General features: G+C 36.9%; 1 long non-coding RNA gene across 1 annotated transcript in view, besides 2 other annotated features; it reads left to right on the top strand.

Annotated features, from left to right (window-relative positions):
• Positions 1-13,653, top strand: part of LOC105371664 (uncharacterized) — a 115,921-nt gene that overhangs the window by 74,506 nt on the left and 27,762 nt on the right. The window lies entirely within an intron of this gene.
• Positions 2,970-3,049: an enhancer, noted in NCBI's record as "active region_2260". NCBI's record gives its function as "activates an Ori minimal core promoter by ATAC-STARR-seq in GM12878 lymphoblastoid cells {active_cell/tissue: GM12878}" and the evidence as "EXISTENCE:reporter gene assay evidence [ECO:0000049][PMID:35858748]".
• Positions 9,319-9,378: an enhancer, noted in NCBI's record as "active region_2259". NCBI's record gives its function as "activates an Ori minimal core promoter by ATAC-STARR-seq in GM12878 lymphoblastoid cells {active_cell/tissue: GM12878}" and the evidence as "EXISTENCE:reporter gene assay evidence [ECO:0000049][PMID:35858748]".

Here is a 13,653-nt window from a genome sequence, read left to right as displayed (position 1 = left end):
ACGATCTTGGCTCACTACAACCTCTGCCTCCCAGGTTCAAGCCATTCTCCTGCCTCAGCCTCCCGAGTAGCTGAGACTACAGGCGCGCACCACCACGCCCCACTATTTATTTATTTATTTTTTGTATTTTTAGGAGAGATGGGGTTTCACCATGTTGGTCAGGTTGGTCTCCATCTCCTGACCTTGTGATCTGCCCACCTTGGCCTCCCAAAGTGCTGGGATTACAGGCATGAGCCACCGTGCCCGGTCCTGGTGTAGAAGCATTTTTACACTACTGATAAAGGTGATAATCATAGCTAATAATAAATACGCTAAGATAACAAATATAAAACCATCTTAGATGTTTTAGATTACTTGGTCTAATCTTTACCGTAATCCTTTGAGACAAATTTCACTATCCCCATTTAACAAATTTGACAACTGAGTTTAAAAGAGATAAACTTTTCTAACTAGAAGTGTCAAAACTTGGAATAGAACTTAAGCCCGACTTCAAATTCATGCTTGTTTCATTGTTTTAAGCTGCTTCTCAAAGTTGCTGCTTCATATGACTAAAGCTATCATTACTTCAAGGTGCCATTTCCTCTAAGTGTATTGAGCATGTTGCACCTAGAAGAACTCCTTTCCACACAGAGAGAACCTTTCTCATTCAAATCAAGTTATTCCCCTATTTTGGTCGTCACAAGAGTTACCCTTGTGGCTTCTTTTTTTGCATTTGTGTCTTTCCCAAGTTGAAATCTGATTTGGAACTTCTCTCACGTTTATGGAGCCCATAGCTCATAATCAAAGGTCTTTCCTGGTAAATTATCTTCCAGGGCTATACATTTTTTGTTTGTTTTGTTTCATTATTTCTCCCTCCATCAACTTAATCAATTGCTTTCTTTCCCTTGGCTGTTCTTCTCACAGAAATTTTTATCAGTGTATGAAGACTGTAGCTTTTAACAGCATATTAAGGCATTTATCTCATTTTCAAGTATGATTCAGAAGGTAGCCTTTTCAGTTCGAAATTAGAATGACAATGTATCATCCTATGAGATTTTTGGGACTTGGCTTGTGAGTTGAATGCCTCATTGAATATCCCTGTTTAAAAATAACTCTAATTTTTGGATTTCAAAGTCATCTATTATATGATTATTTCAAGTGCATTTTGTAAATTTTGGTGTAGAGAATTGGGTAATAGTTTACAGAACTATTTAAGGGTTTTTCAAGTTAAAATGTTTCAAGATCACTTCGTAGTACAACATTTTGTGCCAAAGTGAAAAATGTGAAAAGAGACTTTGAAGGCAGTAAGCTGGGTAAGAAGTTATGTGACTGACTTTAATAATAGAATTCCAATGCAGTTTATAAGAACCCTGCATACCATGGGGGTTTCCATTAGAAAAATACTAAAATTTACTTCTGTGAAATCTAGGGGCTTTTCGATGTTCAGCTGTCACATATGTGGACTGAAAAATTAAATCTTGTTTCATAAGCATCCTGTGTCAGTTTCTTTGCAGTGCAGGAAATAGGTTCAGAAAAGATAAGAAAGATATACAAAATAGCTGTGCAGGATGCCCTGCATACCAGTTCGTACCAATGTGGCCATTTCCAGGAATCAATGGTTGATTATTTTTCACGTGATATACTTAAAACATAGTGACGGGAGGATATCCACATTCAGTCAAGTTCTCAAGCATGTTTGCCGATATCGTCATATGTTCTTGTATTTATTATTAATGCTGACAGGTGGGCCCAGGCAACTGTATGGTATCTATGCTTTCTCTCTGTTTCTCTTTTCATATGTCATTTAGAAAACAGCTTAAAATGATCAACTTCATCTACATTTCACTCTTGACATATGATGCTTCTCCTCAAGAATATCAAAATATCTTTACTAGACAGGTACATAGGTTCAAACATGTATATTATAATATGTGTATCACAGATCCTTAGAAAATACACATTTTTCACGTGTCAATTCTCGTTAATACAACACTATGAGATGGGTATTATTAATTTAGAATGAAATGTCTAGCCTCAGAGATTTTTAAAAACTTAAGTTCACAAATCTAATAAGAGATACATATATTCAGAATTCACTATGTGCTATCTTTTCTGTGTATTCATCCATCCTCACAATGACCATAGGAGGAAGGAACTGCTTAATTAACTCCATTTGACAGATGAGGCAACTACAGGTTTGAAAGGTTAAGTAATTTGCCTGAGTTTACACAATTAGCAGGTTTTAGGGCTAGGATTTTTAGCCCTGGTTGTCTGATTTGATCCCCAGTGACTGTCCAGTTTACCTATTTTCTTTCCCTGGTCATTGGCTCCGTCATGACAGAACCACAGAACATACCCAGGGCTTCCAATGGGGTATCCATTCTAAGATGTGCTAAAAATTTATAAGTATCAGAATTTAATTTATATAAAATCATCGACAAATTGATGGCTAGGGATAGCAATAATTTCCACAACTAGAATTCTTTTTTTCACTTTATCTATTTATTTATTTATTTATTTATTTTTTACCCATGAGAGTAAAACCATAGAAACATCTGCCCCTACAATATATCCTTGAGTAAAAGTGATAGAAAATGTTTTATTTTATTATTTATTTATTTATTTTGAGATGGAGCCTTGCTCTGTTGCCCCAGGCTGGAGTGCAATGGCGTGATCTCGGCTCACTGCAACCTCGGCCTCCTGGGTTCAAGCAATTCTCCTGCCTCAGCTTCCCAAGCAGCTGGGATTACCAGCGCCTGCCACCGCACCCAGCTAATTTTTGTATTTTTAGTAGAGACGGGGTTTCACCATGCTGGCCAGACTGGTCTCAAACTCCCAACCTCAGGCGAGCCGCCCACCTCGCCCTCCCAAAGTGCTAGGATTACAGGTGTGAGCTACCGTGCCCAGCCTAGAAAATGTTTTAGTAACTTGGCACAGCAACTAATGTGTGGAAGAACCTCTTATCAGTTAAAAGGGTGCCCCCAAGAGTGATCAGTTGTTACTAAAAGTATTAACCATAAATAATATAAAACCTCTGTAGGGTATTTCCCTTAACTATTTGAAACATCTACCTTACGTGCATGGCAAAGCCTTAGTTTTGAGTCAACCAAAAAAACCCTGCTGGAGAAGTGGTGGTGAGTTTTTCTGGAGTACTACCCCCTGGCCTTCCTGTCCTGTAAACTGAGGTAAATTCCCCTGCAGTGACCTTCAGAGCTGTGCTTATGAGCAAATGTGCATAGTAACCAACTGCTTTGTCCTCAGAGGTCAATTCTTCTCTTGAACTTCCCCAAGTGACATCTGATATGGGGGAAGTCTTCCAGTTTCTCAAGTTCTCTTTCAGAGCGGTGGTGACTTTTAGCACCCTTTCTCTTTGTTGAAATAAATGGCTCTAAAACTTTGAAAAATGCTGGCAGGAAAGCTAGTAACCACAATTAGTCATAAACTGCATTGATATAGACAGATCCTTGCTCTTTTACTTCCATTGGAGCATTGACTACTCAGAGTAGAAGCCTTAGCTCAATGCTCAAACAGCCTCAAGTCAAGGCTCACACAGTTCTTGAAAATGACACTGTGGCTGCAGACACAAGGCTGCATCCTAAGTGTATGATTAATGCTTGGAAGTTATGTCTTTCTACCAGGGAGGAAATGCTACTGCAAACCTTAACCTTGAAAATTCAGACTGAAAAATTCCAACATAAGTCATAGATACAATTATTAATTAAATGAAAATTGATGTGTAAATCCCCTGCATCTCTCTGGATGACCTTTTTCTAGTGCTCTTGACTACACTGTCTCCAGCGAACCTCCTGGGTAATTGCATGATTATAACATGTATTCCCTGTGTATTTTAATCAGTTACTGGGATGGTTAAAGGGAGATACTTTTGGGCACAGTTATCACTTCCAAGCTGTATTAGCCCCTTATAATGCTTACTCTAAACAGTTGCTAATGTTTTGACCTTTGCAGCTCATCTGAAAAACAGATTTGGCCGGATATGTTGGCTCATGCCTGTAATCCTAAAACTTTCGGAGGCTGAGGTGGGAGGATCATTTGAGGCTATGAGTTTGAGATCAGCATAAGCAACATAGTGAGATCCCTGTCTCTACAAATAACAATAATAATAACTTTTAAAAAAACTATAAAATTTTGAAAAGTGATTTACTTGGCTGTTTGTTATTAAAGTGAGTTCAAATTGAGAATTTAAGTGGAAGCTAAATTAGCATATGAATGATAAGTACTGATTAAAGGCTACTGGAGGAAGAATAAAGAATGAGGAGAAAGTACAATTGGTTAAAGCTCTGTAGGCGAATCTCAGTTCTGGAAATGGCACTGGCATGGGTGTCCATGCTTAAAGCTCAAGAAAAAAACACAACTTACTCTCAGAGGGCTCTCTGCCTGTCCTCACAGCAGCTTTCTGTTGGCTTAAAAGAGGCTTGCGATTTCTAAGTAACTGTAAGTAGGGCAGCAACAGAAGCAGGTTAGACGTTTTTGTTTTTTTTTTTTTTTTGCTTCTTTCTTTCTTTCTTTTTTCCTTTTAGTTAAAACCTTTAGTTACTAAGAAGCAACCATGAAGACTTCTGAGGAATAATGTGGGGAAAGACAAAATTTTATGTAAAGACCAGTTCAAGTGAAAGGAAGAATCTATTACTTTAACTTCTCTAGTAAATTCTTAAGGGTTGGAATGTAACTTTCATCATCTATTCAATTTAGGGCATTTGGTTAGTACATTATGCACACTATTGAAAGCAATGCAGAATTATTATTGTTTTTACTGTTTACCTAGTAGAGAAAGTGCCGCATGCTAATTGCAAAATTATGTTTAAGACACAGCAGAATAAAATTGGTGCTATTAGACCAGTACAGAAAAGTGATATAACATTGAAAAGATGCAGAACTCACAATAGCAGTGTCAAGTTTAATTCCCAGAGGCTACCTTGCTTCCAGTATTCACCGACACAAAATTGTCTGGTGGGTCTTTCATTATAGATGGAATTAAATGAGAGTAGTATTAGTACATTCTTTCATCTACTATTGTAGTTTAAATAAAAACGCTTTCAGTTAGCATATAAAAAACTGTCCTTTGGAAAGCCTGAAGTAGTATACCTGTAATCTGTAGGAGGAAATGAAATTCAAGTTCAATTAGGGGGTGACTTTTAAAAACTTTCTATTTTGATATAATTTTAGACTTATGGAAACCTTGAAAGGATAGTACAGAACTTTTGAATAACTTTCACTCACTCCCCTTAATTTTGGCATCTTCTATAATGATTTTTATAATTAGTGAAACTAGGAAATTAACATTAGTTAATACTATTAACTGAACTACAGACTTTACTCAAACTTCCTCAGTTTTTCTACTAGGGTTCTTTTCTGGCTTACCCTTCAGATTGGCAAAATACTGAAGATATCTGATAGACCAAATGTTGATAAGGATGTCCAATTGGAATGCTCACACATTGGTATCAACACTAAGGCAAATAATTTAGTAATATTTAGAACTACACTGTTCAATAGGGTAGACACTAGCCACATGTGGCTATGGAGCACTTGAAATGTGTTGAACTATGAGCTGGGCATGGTGGCTCACACCTGTAATCCCAGCACTTTGGGAGGCTGAGGCGGGTGGATTGCCTGAGGTTAGGAGTTCGAGACCAGCCTGGCCAACATAGTGAGACCCTGTCTCTACTAAAAATACAAAAAATTAGCTGGGTATGGTGGCAGGCATCTGTAATCCCAGCTACTACTACTAGGGAGGCTGAGGCAGGAGAATCACTTGAAGCCAGGAGGCGGAGGTTGCAGTGAGCCAAGATCATGCCATTGCACTCCAGCCTGGGCAACAAGAGCAAAACTCTGTCTCAACAAACAACAACAACAACAACAACAACAAAGAAATGTATTGAACTAAGCTGGGCTATAAGTATAAAATACACATTAATTTTCAAAGAATTAATACAAAAATGTAAGCTATCACATTGATAATTTTTATTTTGGTTATATTTTGAAATAATATTTTGAATATATTGTATTAAATAAAATTTATTAAACGTGTATAATATATTTTTTTAACATGGGAACTAGAGAATTTAAAATTATATTTGGAGATCACATTATATTTCTATTAGACAGCACTGGCTGTCTTGAATGTAGAAAGAATATTTACCCTGAGACTCAGATACATTATGTTAGATGCACCCTGGAGAAATTCTCATACTTTTGCATGAGGAAACATATGCAAGACTTTCATTTTATTCATTTTTCTAATAATAAGAAATTAGAGAAAACTGACATGTTTATCAATAGAGGAATGCATTATAATCCATTTATAGAATTAAAAAACTAGTAGTAAAAACTAGTATAAATTTAATGATCAACTTAGGTAATCACTGCAAACAAAATGATTAAGAAAGTCAAACTGCACAAGGTTAAGAAAACATATCATTTTAATGTGAATCTTAACAATTAAAAATATCATTAATTATTATAGATATAGACATAAAGGATTAATATAAAAACATGAATGGGAGTTGAAGTTGATTGCGTTTTTGGCCCTAATTTTTTACCCCCTACTGTATTCATCCCCTTTGACTTGTAACTTATATGCCCTCTCATTACATGTGGGCTGCCTCTTTCCCCCTCTTGACTTTGGATTTGGCCATGTGACTTGCTTTGGCCAAAAGCATGAGATGGAAGTGGTAGTGTGACAGTTTTGAGCCTAGGCCTCAATAGACTGGTATTTCTCCTTGCTTTTTTGTGCCTCTGCGTTGTTAGGAAAAAAGAACATACCTAGGCTAGTCGTAAGGGAAGATACATGGAACAGAGTGAAATGGCCCCAGCCAAGCCAAAACTTAACTGGCTGTCTTCCAACTAGCCCTCATATGCATGAATGGGCTCTGATGAGATCTGCAGATCTTTCATTCAGATCCATGAAAATAAAAGATTATAGTTTTAAACCACTGAGTTATGGGTAGTTTGTTATACAGCATGTTTCATAGCAATAGCTGATAGGTGAGATGGTATAATATTTCTGTCTGGGATGGAGGAAAGTAGATGTTGTATATCCAAATATTTTTTATTTTAAAATTGTCATATAAATATGAAAAAAATGAACATTTATTGAATTTGGATAATAAATATTATTTTGTTATAATTCAAGTTTTTTTATGTTTGAAAATGCAGTTTTTAAAAGATAAAATATTTTAAAAAGTAAAACTAGAGTTCTAATTGCCCACTTTTCTATTTATTTCATTTATGATTTCATGCCAATATTAATTTTCTGATTTTTTGGTTCATGTTCATTACTGGCTTGCTTAAGATAACTGTGGTTCATGCTTTATGTACAATCACCTCTTCTAGTTTAGCTTATGTCCCATAGTTTTTTTTTTAATAAAATACTCATTAATGTTTGCATTAAAATAAAATGGAATGGATTTGGTGAACCTTTAATTTGTATTTCCAGTTTCTGTCATGATCTTATCTATTATAGTGTGAATCACATAGCAGTAAACAGACTTCTAATTTCAACACCTGGTTAAATCTGATAAGTGATGAGTGATAACTCGGCTCTCTTTTTCCTATGTTTTTTAGAAGTAATGAGACATACACAGCTAGAGACGGCTCAATTCTCTGCTTGTGGATAAGAGGAGCATTTGAAGCTTTTTGTCCCAACTAGTGTCTTTTTTCACCAGCCATTTGTGCTGTGCTTATGGTGGTATTGTGATATGTGAGATAAAAAGAGCTGAACAAACTTATGTTGGTGGAGTCATGGGGAAATGCGGGAAATGAAAAGTCAATTGCACACGAAGCATTGCCAGGAAATAGAAATTGAGCACTCCTGCCAAAGAATGTGTATAAGGCAATCTGAATATTCTTGCAAAAGTATTTTTTTAAATTTATCGTACACCGTTATTATATATCTATTCGTTTATTTTTTTTAAAATTTGGCAACAAAACCCTTTCCACAGCAATAAGCTAAAAAAGTTTATGTTTAATTAAAAATAAAGTACATATTTCTGTTACTCAAGGAAATTAATGATAGGCATGAATTTGCACAGAACATTTCTCAACATTTTCCATCCACTATGGGGTGTGTAGTACTGTCACTGACCACATGAAAAAGAGAAGACACAAATGTACCAAAGAAGTACCAGCATCTACTTCAAAAGTGAGTCATTATTTTATGAAGACTGCAGAGATTAGGTACATCAGTATTTCATGCATTAATGAAAGTCTCTGTGATATTAGTTAAATGGAGCCTGGAAACCATAAACTGCTAAGACCCATTAGAAGCCACCTTAACATGTTGAAATCATGTTTCGTACTTAATGGTGGGTGGTTTCAAGTTCCCTAATGCATGCAGTTACCCAGTATTCTGAGTCCTCAGGCAATCCTCACACACAGGTCCTTCCTCAGCCTGCATCTGCTCCTTCCTGCCTTGGATACCATCTCAGCTCATGATTTTGATACAAACCTCAGATATGACTTTCAATAGGGATTGCATCCAGAAAGGCATTCAGCTTATTCCATCTTCTATGCCCTCTTATTTTTGACTATCGTACAATATTTTTGTGCATTTATGCTTTCTTCAGATCGCCTTTACTTTAAAAAGAGGAAGTAGTAAGAGTGAAGTTGTTAGTATTCTCAGTGAAATATTCTTTAAAAGTGGGGATAATCCCATCAGCTATTTTAGCTAAATTTCTTGGAATAGCCAATATTGGGATTATAATGGTAATTATTTGGAAAAATAGTATTAAGTTTTATAATACTATTTTTCCAAATAATTACCATTATAATCCCAATATTGTAGCCAAAAATATTAATGTCCCTCAAAGAATTCACATATTTTGATACAGATTCTGTTTTTTAATGTTTGTGCTATTTCTATGAGGTTACAAGTTGAAAAAATTACCATTTTATTTTAAAGGTGGGGAAATTTTCCAAGCTTCTCTAGGAGTGAATGCAGTGGAGATTAAATGAGACTACTCATTCACAATCTATAGCTCTTGATTCCAGGTTGTTTGCATTTTTCATTCACAGTCTATAGCTCCTGATTCCAAGCTGTTTGCACTTCCTCATTAAAAATGATTAGGAATGATGAGAAAAATGGTAATAAGTTTACTGTTGCTGGAAATTTTCAAGTTGTCCATGGAGGTACTTTCTTTTTAGGAAGGAACATACAGTGTATCACAGTTCTTGCATGAACCCCTTTAGAGGAAAAAAAAAGTTCAAAGGGGATGTCCAGAGGCGATCGCTCTGGGACTACAGTGAATTGATACTTAGTCAACAGGGGAATTTCTCAAGCTTTCTTAAAGCTTAACCCACAACCACACCTGTCAGCAGTTTCTTCCAAGTGAGAAACATTTACAAGTATATTACGCTTAAAATGTGAAGAATCTTCGAGTCCCTCTTAAACAACTGTTTTTATCCCTTCAAGAGAACTGAATCTAAATAATGGGACTCTGCATGTTTGGCAAATTACTCATTTCCTGAAAATGCAAAACCTAAGTAACAGAAATGAGGATAGCAACACGCTGTGCAGTATAAGTGTGTTTCAAAGGATTCAAGCTCCTCTGAAATATTTCTGTTTAATCGAAGGCCAAAGAGAGTAGAACTCTTACAGTCTTTCTCTACTCCAGGCAATTTCTCTTTTAAAGCATCAGTTGGAATTTCCTTTTTTCATCAATTGACAAAAGCAATTCTTTTTTTTTTTTTTTTTTGAGATGAAGTCTTGCTCTGTCACCCAGGCTGGAGTGCAATGGTGCGATTTAGGCTCACTGCACCCTCTGCCTCCCGGGTTCAAGCGATTCTCCTGCCTCAGCCTCCCGAGTAGCTGGGATTACAGGCACCTGCCATCATGCCCAGCTAATTTTTGCATTTTTATAGAGATGGGGTTTCACCATGTTGGCCAGGCTGGTCTTGAACACCTGACCTCAGGTGATCCACCCACCTCTGCCTTCCAAAGTGATGGGATTACAGGTGTGAGCCACTGTGCCCAGCCAAAGAACGATTCTATTAATGTTAATTTATTTTGTAGTTTATAGTTCCTACACTAAATTGTAGTTTCTGCAGATGAATTTTGGAGTCATGTTGTTTATTAGTGTTTACTTTGAAACTATATGTGGACTAGAAAGTTCTAATATTTATGGGATTGGTTCATAATACTGAGTAGTACTTGAAGTATTTAGTCTGTCAGACTTTAGGTAAAATCACAGGTTAAATATTCTGGAGAGAGAACACTATCTCTCCATTAAAAGATATATAGAAAATGTGGTTTCATAATAAATCATTATGATATTTAATGATCTATATTGTTTAAAATGAACCAATGTTATATTTTTATAGAAATAAAAAATTATTCTTATAATCTAATTGGCTATCAGTTGACCTACAAAAGTTGAAGAAAAAGAGCAGAAAGAATAAGTCTCTCTTGTCTAAGATAAAGCCAGACATTACAGCAGTGAAAACAGATTTTCTTCAGAAACGACTGACAACAGGAGAAAGAACTGATCCCAGTGCTTTAGGAGGCCGAGGCAGGAGGATTGCTTGAGGCCAGGAGTTTGAGCTCAACCTGGGCAACATAGCAAGATCCTGTCTCTAAAAAAGTTAAAAAAAAAAAAAAAAAGAAGAAGAAAGAGCTGAACTCCATTCTGATTTGTGCAGAAGTGACTGAGTGCTTTAAAGGGAAAATGAGGGAGTAGGGACAGGGAGCGAGTGAAGTCGTAGGAGCTGCATATATATCTCCAAAGGGAAAGAGACAGGATTCACAATTATAATCCTTTTTTAATAAGTGCACTGAGAAGGAAATATCAGGGGCCTATCATCAGGTATTAGCCAGAACAAACAGGAAATGCTTTTGACACCCATGAGCTTTTGAAGGCAGAAATTCATGAGATGGTTGGGTCATACCAGGGGTGTGAACTTAGGCCGCTTAGAAACCATACTAGCTACTGTGGGTCAGGTCTCTCAGTGCAGGGATTGAAATTAAGTTGTTATATGCCGAGACTTCTTTTTCTCTCTTTTCTCTCCTCTCCTTCCCTTTGTTCCCTCTTATTTTGTCAGGATGCACTAACGGAAACAGAAATTACCACTATAGGTATTTTAAGCAAGAAGGATTTTAAAAATACGGGACATGATGTACTTAAACAATTATTGAAATGTTAAAGGAGAGGATAGTAGGCTGGGTGTTCAGGACTGACCCCAGATTGACTCCACTAGGAAGCTACTGCCTCTGAGGTCTTCACTAAAGCTGTAAGTTTAGGAACAATTCCTGGAGCTGCTATGCAGTCGTTAGAATGCTGGAATTAAGAAGTGGGGCACTGCTACCATTGCAACTGCCTTCCAACACTAATAACACCCGAAAGTGGATTCTCATAGCTACAAGCTAGGTATTGACTCTTGACACCCAAGAACCTGTGGAATAGGTGCCGGCAGTTTACTCTAGAAACACCTTATGTTTCCACAACTTTACATGCAAACAGAAATAAGAAGATAGCTTTGACCTTGCTGCTTGCTTCCAAATCTTCTAATAAACAGAAACTAACTTGCATCAGAATACTAGCTACTCAAGTATCTTCATGTCTTTTCATTTTCCTCCCCTCCTTTTCTCTCTTCATCTTTTAAATGTATGAATACATGCTTGTTCCATGAAAAGTGCTAAACATTGCTGAGCTTTAAAAATTATACATGAAATAGGTGAACTCCATGCTTTTATGTAGTCACAGTCTACACAGGGGAAAAAAGAGGATTTACTTGTTGTAAATAAATAAAGTTAAGTGCTGTACTAAAACTGTGCATGCAGGGTTTTGGAAGCATGAAAGAATTTATCTCTAGAAGGAATCAGAAAAGTGGTCATAAACATGGCCCTTATATTGTCTATGAAAAGATGAATATGAGGTTGTCCAATAAGGAGTGTGTTGGGGGCATCCTCTTAGATAGAGGACACAGTCTATTTGAAAATACAGGTTTAAGAAAGTTTGGTGGGCTATGACTGGGTGCAGTGGCTCACTCCTGTAATCCCAGTGCCTTGGGAGGCTGAGACAGGAGGATCACATGAAGCCAGGAGTTCAAGACCAACCTGCTCAATGTAGCAAGACCCTACTTCTAAAACAATTTTTTAAAAATTAGCTGGGCATGGTGGCATGCGCCTATAATCCTAGCTACTTGGGAAGCTGAGGCGGGAGGATTGCTTGGGCCCAGGAGTTCCAGGTTACAGCGAACCCTATGCCACCGCACTGCAGTAGCCTGGACAAATAGAGTGAGACCCTATCACAAGAAAAATAAAAAATAAAGAATAAAAAAAAGTTTGGTGAGCTAAAGGAATAGCAAAATGTTCAATACAGTTCTATTATAAGGATAAGTCGCTCCAATTCTAGAAAATAGTGGAATATAAGAACTTACCTCTAAGTATAAGGCCGTGACCCCTGAAAGAACAATAATAGCTAAATAAATTGCTACTTTGTCTTTCTCCAACATTGCTTTATTGTTTGCTATAGGAATTAGATCTAGGCCAATGAGAGTCAATATCTGCTTTCTTGATAAACATTTTCCCTCTAAGCTTCCAACTCCGTATTTATTTATTAAGCTTAAAGTAACACAGAATGTCTTCATTATTATGCAAATAAATATTTCATTTTTGGATTTATTTAACAAATATCATGTGCCAGTTTTGTCCTGGGAATAGTACTTAGTACATAAGAAAAGCTGATGACTGTGTCTATGACAAGGAATCTTTAGTGAGGAAACAGACATGTAGACAACTTCAATATAAATCAGATAACTGGTTTGAAGGAGTAATGTACAGAATGCTATAGGAACTCAGAAAACAGCTTTCCTATGTCACCTAGAGACAGCAGGGGCCTCATGGAGGAAGCAGCATTTAAGCTGAGAAGCAAAGCCTGAGTAGGAATATTCTAGACAGTTTAATATGTGAGAGTGGAAGGATATTCTAGGAAAAGGAAATAACATTTCATATAACAACTGTTCTCAGTGAGGAGAACATGGGAACGAGATTAGACAGGAACATAGGACCAGTTGGCCACTGACCTCAAAGGGATTTGCAGGTATGAGATCTGTGTGGTAGAAACTACAAGTACTGCAAGAAGTCGGAGAAGGGAGGTTTCTTGAGGTACAGAGATGCCAGCTCTGTGCAGGGAGTAGAATTTGACTAGGACTTGTACTTGGAAAGACTGAAGGGAACATTGCTCCAGGTTTGGTGAGCAATGTGGACCACTGTCCAGAGGTTGTATCAGTGTGGTCCCCCTGTTGGAAAGTGAAATGTATAAACCTGTTTTTAGCAGAGGCACATTTTTGAGATGGTAAAATTAAAGCTGGACATGTTACTGGGACATGTTATCAAAAGCTAAAAATTCTGGGGGTCACTTAAGGCAGTAAGACAGAAAAGTGTAGCAGAAAATGCTGTAGCTGGGAGTCAGTGGATTCAAGAACTGGTGGGGTCTATCGTTGGTTCTGTAATGTTGGAAATATCACCCAGTCCTCAAGCTTCTGGAGCTATAATATATAAAATGAGGATTGTTAAACCTCATACTCTGTAAGGCCACTCCACTTCTAAGTTGCCATATGTGTTTAATAAATAGGGACCTGTTGAAATTTTTAGCGGGTTTTATTGTGCTGTTGTTATTTGGCCTTAAGAAGGAAGTATTAAGTTTAGGGAACTGGGAT

Source organism: Homo sapiens, chromosome 1 (genome assembly GCF_000001405.40).
Source record: "Homo sapiens chromosome 1, GRCh38.p14 Primary Assembly".
NCBI lineage: Eukaryota > Metazoa > Chordata > Mammalia > Primates > Hominidae > Homo > Homo sapiens.
The sequence above is the reverse complement of the archived record's forward strand: the minus strand, read 5'-3'. Positions and strand labels throughout refer to the sequence as shown.